The sequence below is a fragment of the Homo sapiens genome, chromosome 7 (assembly GCF_000001405.40).
Source record: "Homo sapiens chromosome 7, GRCh38.p14 Primary Assembly".
NCBI classification, from domain to species: Eukaryota; Metazoa; Chordata; class Mammalia; order Primates; family Hominidae; genus Homo; species Homo sapiens.
The window spans coordinates 27,055,002-27,065,437 of record NC_000007.14 but is presented as its reverse complement, the minus strand read 5'-3'; positions in this window follow the sequence as shown (position 1 = coordinate 27,065,437).

The following is a 10,436-nucleotide window of genomic DNA, read 5'->3' as shown; positions in this document are numbered from 1 at the left end:
TAGAGTGCAGTGGCACAATCATAGCTCACTGTAGCCTCTGTCCTGGGTCAGGAGATCCTTGCACCTCAGCCTCCCTAGTAGCTGGGACTATAGGCATGTGCCATCATGCCTTGCTAAAAAAGACACCTTTTTTTTCTTCCCTGAGATGGAGTCTTGCTCTGTTGCCCAGGCTGGAGTGCAGTGGCGTGATCTCGGCTCACTGCAACCTCCACCTCCTAGGTTCAAGTGATTCTCCTGCCTCAGCCTCCTGAGTAAGCTGGGATTACAGGTGCACGCCACCACGCCTGGCTAATTTTTGTATTTTTAATAGATACAGGGTTTCACCATGTAGGGCAGGCTGGTTTCGAACCCTGACCTCAGGTGATCCGCCTGCCTCAGTCTCCCAAAGTGCTGGGATTACAGGCGTGAGCCACGACACCCAGTGAACCCTTTTTTTTTTTTAAAGGAAACAGCAAAGCTGAGAGCCAACATGCAAGCTTTAAGGACATGAGTCTAGAATTAAACTAAGATACACTAAGATGGAATACACCCTGCAGTTCTCAAGAATGATTCAGGACTCTAGGCACTGTTTGTCCAGATTTCTGTTTTTAATTTAAAATTGTTATTGCAATAAAGTAACACTCAAAAAGAAAAAATCCAAACATACACAAATGTTAGAGAAGTAGTACAATGAACTGCCATCTACTCACCACACAAATGAAATTACTGTCTAGACTTTGTCATTTTCTTCATCTGTCATCTCCTTTTCCCCCTTTGCTGAAGTATTTTAAAGCAAGTCCCAGATACCATGCCATTTTACCCCTACATACCACAGTATCAACTTTTTTTTTAAAGAAAAAATGGCCTTGTTTTGTTAGTTATTTAATACAGCTAGAAAGGATTCAGCTACAAATCCAAATATGCTGGGGTATCAGAAGCTTAAACTCATTTTTCCTAAAACCCTAGAAGCCAAATACACCTTTGACCCAGTATCAGGCCTAGAGAGCATTCACAATACAGCAGTATTACAGTATTCCACACAGTAAGAAAGGAATTAAAAGGGTAAGTTTGTTCTATGCCTGAATGGACAGAACTTTGGCTGGCTTCCTGTTGAAGCAGTTTAGACATTTTGAAAACTGCTGCAGCTGCCAGTTTTGTGGATCTGATTGTCTTTAACGGTTGTCTTTTTTTTTTTTGAAATTAATGTTTTCTCTCTTGGGATTTCAACATGATTGTTTTCTGGAAACGGAATTCCTTAGAAAACTACTTATAAATTGCATGTGAAGCTCAAAATTTATTTTAATGTTTTAAAATGCTATCTTGAGTTTCAATACAGGCAACCCAGTCAGTCTGGTTAGCTTGAGCTAATTTCTTTCTTTCTTTCTTTCTTTTTTTTTTTTTTTTGAAACGGAGTCTCACTCTGTCCCCCAGGCTGTAGTGCAATGGTGCGATCTTGGCTCACCGCAACCTCCGCCTCCCGGGTTCAAGCGAGTCTCCTGTCTCAGCCTCCCAAGTAGCTGGGATTACAGGTCCGTGCCACCACGCTGGGCTAATTTTTGTACTTTTAGTGGAGACGGGGTTTCACTATGTTGGTCAGGCTGGTCTCGAACTCCTGAGCTCGTGATCCGCCCGCCTCAGCCTCCCAAAGTGCTGGGATTATAGGCATGAGCCACCATGCCCAGCCCAGCCTGCATCAATTTCTTATGTACGGATTGATATGCTGGGATAACCAGGTTCCAAGATAAACTGGTGATTGGAATTTTTACACTAAAAATTTCAATTAGGACGGTTGTTAGACAGATTATAAATCAAAGTTTAGACCTGTGGCTTAACAGTATCTTTTTTTTTTTTTTAGAAGGAGTTTCACTCTTGTTGCCCAAGCTGGAGTGCAATGGTGCGATTTCGGCTCACTGCAACTTCCACTTCCAGGGTTCAAGTGATTCTCCTGCCTCAGCCTCCCGAGTAGCTGGGATTACAGGTGGCTGCCACCATGCCCGACAAATTTTTTGTATTTTTAGTAGAGATGAGATTTCACTACGTTGGCCAGGCTGGCCTCGAACTCCTGACTTCAGGTTATCCGCCTGCCTTGGCCTCCCAAAGTGCTGGGATTACAGGCGGGAGCCGCTGCACCTGCCCAACAGTATCTTTTTAAGTAAAATATCTGGCATAGTTTCTACCAAGTTGTCAGTGAGCCTTCCACTCCCCCGCAGCCTATAATTCAAAAGGTCCCATTGAGGTTTTGATCTCTAGCAGCATGTCTATCGTGATCAGCATGTCCACTGATGTTGAAACAAGGCAGGGTGGAAAGAGCAGCTGGAAATAGCTATTGATGTATTCATTTGATAAATATTTTTGGAGCTTTTGTTACATGCCAAGTGCTGCCAAGTTCTGTGGGTAACTTAAAGTGGAAATGACAAGAACCCTGGTTACAAGATGCTTACCATCTACTGGAGATAAGCCCTTACACTAAGTAGAATATGAAGTGCCATAAGAGGAAAATGGGAATTCTGAAAAGGAGAAAATTTGTTACTCCCAGATTCTGGGATCTGGGAGGCTGCATGGGGTTGAAATAAGCTGAGGAATATATACTGGATTTGGATATGCAGAAATATGCAGGAAAGAACATAAAGGCCTTGCAATTATTATGAAGCATTGCATTGTTTTTTTTTTGTTGTTGTTGTTGTTGTTTTTAAAGACAGAGTCTCGCTCTGTCACGCAGGCTGGAGTGCAGTGGCTCGATTCCAGCTCACTGAAACCTCTGCCTCCCAGGTTCAAGCGATTCTCCTACCTCAGCCTCCTGAGTAGCTGGGACTACAGGCGTGTGCCACCATGCCCAGGTAATTTTTGTATTTTTAGTAGAGACAAGGTTTCACCATGTTGGCCAAGCTGGTCTCGAACCCCTGACCTCAAGTGATCTGCCTGCCTCAGCCTCCCAAAGTGCTGGGATTACAGGTGTGAGCCACCACACCTGGCCTGCATTGCATTTTTTAGGGAAGAGCCATAGGGAGGCTGGTGCCTGAACAAGTGATATTGTTGTTTGTCAGCTTGCCTATGTCTTCTTCTTCTCCTTTTTTTTTTTTTTTTTTTTTTTTTTTTTGAGACAGGGTCTCATTCTGTCACCCAGGCTGGAGTATAGTGGCATGATCATGGTTACTTCAGCCTCTACCTCCTAGGCTCAAGTGATCCTCCCACCTCAGCCTCCTGAGTAGCTGGGGCTATAAACGTGTGCCACTCCTGGCTAGTATTTTTTGTATTTTTCTTTGTAGAGACAGGATTTTGCCATGTTGCCCAGGCTGGTCTCAAACTCCTGGGCTCCAGCAGTCTTCCTGCCTCAGCCTCCCAAAGTGCTGGGATTACAGGTGTGAGCTACTGCACCTGGCTGTCAACTTATGTCTTATATAATACATATGTATCATGTATAAGTTATCTCTAAGTTATGTCTTACTAGTTGTAAAAGGGACAAAAGAAATGACATGACAATAGCCAGGCATGGTAGCACATGCCTGTAGTCAGAGCCACTTGGGAGGCTGAGGTGGGAGCATCCCTTGAGTTTGAGGCTGCAGTGTGCTATGATTATGCCACTGCACTGGGTGACAGAGCGAGACCCTGTCCCTAAATGTTAAAAAATGGGCTGGGCTTAGTGGCTCACGCCTACCAGCACTTTGGGAGGCTGAGGTGGGTGGATCACTTGAGGTCAGGAGTTCGAGACCAGCCTGACCAAACTGGTGAAACCCCATCTCTAGTAAAAATATAAAAATTAGCCAGGCATGGTGGTGCACGCTTGTAACCCCAGCTACTCAGGAGGCTGAGGCAGGAGAACTACTTGAACCTGGGAGGTGGAGTTCTGCAGTGAGCCAAGATCATGCTGCTGCACTCCAGCCTGGGCGATAGAGGAGACTCCATCTCAAACAAAAGTAAACAAAACCAAAAAAAAAAAAAAAAAACCAACAAAGAAACAAAAAGACAAAAAAAGTAATAAAAAGAAATTACATGGTGAATATTCTTTTATTTATTTAAATTTACACATGGTAATTGTACATATTTATGGGGTGTATGTGATGTTTCAGTACATACAATGTATAGTGATCAGATCAGGGCAATTAGCATTCCATCATATCAAACATTTATTATTTCTTCTTGTTGGGACATTTCACATCTTCTCTTCTAGCTATTTGAAAATACATACGATTGCGAATTATAGTCATCTTAAGGTGCTATAGAACACTAGAACTTATCCTCCTATCTAGCTGTAATTTTGTAGCCTTTAAGGAGTCTCTCCTTATCCTTTTCTTCCCCATGCTCTTTCCAGTCTCCAGTAACCTCTGTTCTACTTATTATTTCTAGGAGATCTTTTTTTTTTTTTTTTAAAGCTTTTCTACATATGAGTGAGAAAATGTGGTGTTTAACTTTCTGTTTCTGGCTGATTTCACTTAACGTAATTTTCCTTCAGTTCCATTCATGTTGCTGTGAATGACGGGATTCCATATTTTCCTTATCCATTCATCTGTTGTTGGACATTTAGGTTGATTCTATATCTTGGCAATTTTGAATAGTGCTGCAGTAAACATGGAGTGTAGATATCTCTTCAATATACTGATTTCCTTTCCTTTGGATAAACGCCCAGTAGTGGAATTGCTGGATCACTTGGTCGTTCTACTGGTAATTTTTTGAGGAACCTCCATACTGTTCTCCATAGTAGCTGTACTAGTTTACATTTCCACCAACAATGTATGAGTTCCTTTTTCTCTGCATTCTCACCTGCATTTGTTATTTTTTGTCTTTTTGATAACAGCCATCCTAACTGGGGTGAGATAATATTTCATTGTAGTTTTGATCTTCATTTCATTGATGATTAGTGACGTTGGGCATTTTTTTCATGTATTTGTTAACCATTTGTATATCTTCTTTTGAGAAATGTCTATTCAGATTGTTTGCCCATCTTTAAATTGGATTCTTTGTTTTATTTTGTTTTTCTGTTGAGATGTTTGATTTTCCTGCATATTCTGGCTATTAATCTCCCTGCAGGATGAATAGTTGGCAAATATTTTCCCCCATTCTGTAGGTTGTCTTTTCACTCTCTTGGTTGTTTCTTTTGCTGTACAGGAGCTTTTTAGTTTGATATAATCTCATCTGTTTATTTTTGCTTTTGTTGCCTGTGTTTTTAAAGTCATATTCATAAAATCTTTTCCCAGACCAATGTCCTGAAGTGTGTCCCTTATGTTTTCTTCTAGCAATTTTATGCTTTGGGTCTTTAAGCCATTTTGAGTTGAGTTTTGTATAAGGTGAGACGTGAAAGTCTAGTTTCATTCTTTTGCGTGTGAACATCCAGTTTTCCCAGCACCATTTATTGAAGACACTGTCCTTTCCTCGGTGATTGTTCTTGGCATACATGGTAAATAGTTTGATGCTACATCTAATCAGTATTCTGTGAATCTGTTGAAAGCTTTGCTTCCATAAATCCCCTAAGATTTTGAAATGAATAGAAACAAGATATTATTTCCACCAGTATTTAATGTGAACTAGCTTTAGTTTGTAAACTTTGAATCCCCTCCCTATATGTAAAATGCACAAAAAGTATAAGTAGAAGGGGACAAGATATAATAAACAGTGCTAATTAATTTCTGTTTTACCTCTTAAGTCTTTCTAGAATCTGCTTGCTTTTTCTCACGTTCATTGCCACTATTCTACTTTAGGTGGGTAGCTAGCTCTCATTTGCGACTCCCTGTCTTGAGCCCTGATATCTTTCACTCCATTCTCCATCCTGCAGAGTGAAATTTCTAAAATACCAAATCTAATAGTTTCTCGTTTTAGAATGCTTGTTCAATGGCATTGCATTGCTCTTAAGATTTGAATTCTATTACATGATTTGCAAAGTTCTCTATAATCATTTTATCAGGGTTGATGTGTGTGATCGAAGAGTATCTAAATATAATGCAAGCCACTCAAAAAAGTCAGTTAAATGTTATGGTATGAGTAGTAGGCAGTAATAGATACCACATGATAATACATTTACTCCATCTTGTTTGATACTTTTCTTATCCTGTTTCTTACATGAGCCGTTAGCTGAAGCTTACTTTACGGAATAGATGGATTCTTTAAATATTCTCTATAAAGTGAATTTCTGTATTTTAAGTCTTTTCCACACTAAATTTCATTATATATAGAATTAGAAATTGATCCTTCTGTAAGGACTGTTGACCTTTTAAGATAAAAAAATTGAAACTTTCTAGCATATATTGAAAGGAAATGAAAATATGATATACTAATTTAACTCGTTTTAATATATAAACATATATTTAATATATGAATTTAAATAAAGATTATTTCTATTTCTAATCTAATGAAATAAAGGTTAAACTAAAAAGATGTCAGTAACTTTATTAAATATAATACAGCAGAATGAATAATCTTCATACTTTATCAACATCCAAGTCCCAATAATTTTCAGCAGGATAGCATGTGATTTTCATATCTTGCTGAAAATTATTGAGACTTGTTCTTTAGTACCTTTAGAAATTGTTGACCTTGGCTGGGCACAGTGGTTCACACTTGTAATCCCAGCACTTTGGGAGGCCAAGGCAGGTGGATCATAAGGTCAGGAGATCGAGACCATCCCGGCTAACACAGGGAAACCCTGTCTCTACTAAAAATACAAATATATATATATATATTAGCTGGGCATGGTGGCAGGCAGCTGTAGTCCCACCTACTCGGGAGGCTGAGACAGGAGAATGACGTGAACCCAGGAGGCGAAGCTTGCAGTGAGCCGAGAACACGCCACTGCACTCCAGCCTGGGTGACAGAATGAGACTCCATCTCAAAAAAAAGAAATTGTTGACTTTGGGAAACATAAGTTGATCTTGGTAGATGATGTAAAATCGACATTGACTTTAACAAATGGCACAGAACATTTATTGGCACATATTCAAAGAGAAATAGGGTGATCAGAGAGTAATATCATACATATGTTACTAAAAGGTCAGGGTGTTCTTGAACTTTTCAGTAGTCTATCATTCATTCATTTAAATGCTTATTCACATTAATTCAGAAATAATTACTGAGGCCCTGTGTGGTCATTCACATCTGCAATCCTAGCACTTTGGAAGGGCCAGGAGGGAGGATCACTTGAGCTCAGGAGTTTGAGAACATCTTGGGCAACATGGCAAAAACTCATCTCTACCAAAACAACAACAATAACAACAACAACAACAAAAATTAGCCAGGTGTGGTGGTGCATGCCTGTGGTCCCAGCTACTTGGGAGGCTGAGATGAGAGGATTGCTGGAGCCCAGGAGTTCAAGACCAGCCTGGGCAACATTGATACAAAAAATTTAAAAATTAACTGGACATGGTGGCACGTGCCTGTAGTCTCAGCTACCTGGGAGGCTGAGGTGAGAGGATTACTTGAGACCTGGAGATCAAGGCTGCAGTGAGCCATGATTGCACCACTGTACTCGGGCCTGTGTGACAGAGCAAGCCCTGTCTCAGAAAAAAAAAAAAAGTGATTTCCACATTTTATCAATGATTCTCCGTTCTGACTCTCTTAGAATTTGCAATCTAGTGTGGAGGTGGTTGGGAACAGACAATAAATAAGTAGATAATAAATAAGAAAGTTAATATCTGGTAGAGGTAAGTTCCATGAAGGAAATAAGACAGTAGGAGGTGAGAGAGACCATAAAGGGAGTGGTTATTTTTACATAGGCTGGTCAGGAAAGGACTTTTCTAAGTACAGAGTAAAGACTTCTGTGATGAAAATGAGCCAGAGAGGGCGGGCACAGTGGCTCATGCTTGTAATCCCAGCACTTTGGGAGGCCGAGGCAGGCGGATCATGAGGTCAGGAGTTCAAGACCAGCCTGGCCAACACAGTGAAACCCTGTCTCTACTAAAATACAAAAATTAGCTGGGCATGGTGGCAGGCACCTGTAATCCCAGCTACTCAGGATGCTGAGGCAGGAAAATAGCTTGAACCCGGGAGGTGGAGGTTGCAGTGAGCTGAGATCATGCCACTGCACCCCAGCCTGGGTGACAGAGCCAGACTCTGTCTCAAAAAAAAAAAAAAAAAAGAGCCAGAGAAATAAAGGACTGGGAGAAGTGTTTCTTGTAGAGGGGATGATAAATGCAAAGGCCTAGAGGTAGGAATAAATTTGGCATGTTTGCAAGACACTCAGGGGGCAGTGGGGAGGTATAAGGTGGACAGGCTGGGGAAAGATCACAGTGGGCCATTAGGCCATGGTATGGAGTTTGGATTTTTATTTTATTTTGTTATTTTATTTATTTATTTATGTTTTTTGAGTTGGAGATTCACTCTTGTTGCCCAGGCTGGAGTGCAATGGCGCGATCTCAGCTCACTGCATCCTCTGCTTCCCAGGTTCAAGTGATTCTTCTGCCTCAGCCTCCCAAGTAGCTGGGATTACAGGCTCCTGCTACCATGCCTGGCTAATTTTTGTATTTTTAGTAGAGATGGAGTTTTGTCATGTTGGCCCGGCTGGTCTTGAACTCCTGACATCAGGTGATCCGCCTGCCTCAGCCTCCCAAAGTGCTGGGATTACAGGCGTGAGCCACCTCACCCGGCTTTTATTGTTTTATTTTTTTGAGACAGGATCTTGCTCTGTCACCCAGGCTGAAGTGCGGTGGCGCGATTACAGCTCATTGCACCCTCGACTTCCCAGGCTCAAGCAATCCTCCCAAAGTGCTGGGATTACAGGTGTGAGCCAACTTGCTTGGCCTGGGTTTTTATTTTTAATGAAATTATTGGGTACCTGCTATGGTTTACCAGAAATACAGAGAAATAATACAGAGAAATAATGTCAAGTCAATGTGATAAATTTGGAAATAACTGATTTCTACCTATTATCAGTAGTTCTCAGTTTTGGCTGCAAAGTAGAGAAAGTTAGGAACTATACATTTCTGGGTGCCATCACCAAAATTTCTGATTTTAATTGAGTCGGGCTGGGGTCAGGCCTCCGTATGTTTAAGAAGCTGCATGGGGATGGTAATGCCATCGAAGTTGCTAACTGCTGAGGACAAAAGCTTGATTCCAGGGGCAGATGGTAGTTTCCAGACAGGTTCACTCAAGGAACCACAAATGCAGCACCCTGAAAAGTTTATTTGAAGATCAAGGCTGGAACCAGACAGCACATGCAACGTCTACAAGTTAATGTTTATAAAAATGTATTCAAGTCCAGGCGCGGTGGCTCATGCCTGTAATCCCAGCACTTTGGGAGGCTGAGGCGGGTGGATCACCTGAGGTCAGGAGTTTGAGACCAGCCTGACCCACTTGGAGAAACCCCGCCTCTACTAAAAATACAAAATTAGCCGGGCGTGGTGGTGCATCCCTGTAATCCCAGCTACTCAGGAGGCTGAGTTAGGAGAATCGCTTGAACCCGGGAGGCAGAGGTTGCGGTGAGCCGAGATTGCGCCATTGCACTCTAGCCTGGGCAACAAGAGTGAAACTCCGTCTCAAAAAAAAAAGTATTCAAAAGATAATCACAGAGGTGGGGATGGTTGTGGTGGCTCATGCCTATAATCCCAACACTTTTTGGGAGGCCCGGGGTGGGAGGATTGTTTGATGCCAGGAGCTCAAGACCAGCCTGGACAGCAAAGTGAGACCCTGTCTTTCAAAAAAAAAAAATTAGCCGGGCATGGTGGTGTGTACCTGTAGTCTCAGCTACTGTGGAGACTGGGACAAGAAGATCTCTTAAACCCAGGAGTTCCAGGCTGCAGTGAGCTATGATCACACCACTGCATTCCAGCCTGGGTGACAGAGTGAGATCCTGTCTCTAAAAATAAATCAATAAAATATTAAATAACTATATTAATGAAAATTTAGAGGCAACACTTCAAGAATGACTCTTTAGGCTGGGTGCGGTGGCTCATGGCTGTAATCCCAGCACTTTGTGAGGCTGAGGCAGATGCTTGAGTCCAGGAGTTCGAGACCAGCCTGGCCAACATGGTGAAACCCCATCTTTACTAAAAATACAAAAATTAGCCCGGCTTGGTGGAGGGTGCCTGTAGTCCCAGCTGTTGCAGGAGGCTGAGGCACAAGAATTACTTGAACCCAGAAAGCAGAGGTTGCAGTAAGTCGAGATAGCACCACTGTACTCCAGCCTGGAGGACAGAGTGAGACTGTCTCAAAAAAAAAAAAAAAAAAAAAAAGAGAATGACTTTTTAACCTTAGATTTTGACAATAGAATTTAACAGAATATACTTAATGTATTGAGTTGATTCTGATATCTCAGTTCAGTACAAACACACTAACCTTATTAGTTTTACAATCTCTGTGTTATATAGGTATGTGTATGTGTTTGGGAATAGTTTGGACCATTTAAACTTATATCCTGCTCATTCTGTTTGTATTTCATATTTTCTCTATTAAATCACTCTATTCAATAGTTTCTCCTATGCAATAGTTTATCCTACTTATTTTTATTTTTTGCTTTTTCCAAGACAGGGTCTCGT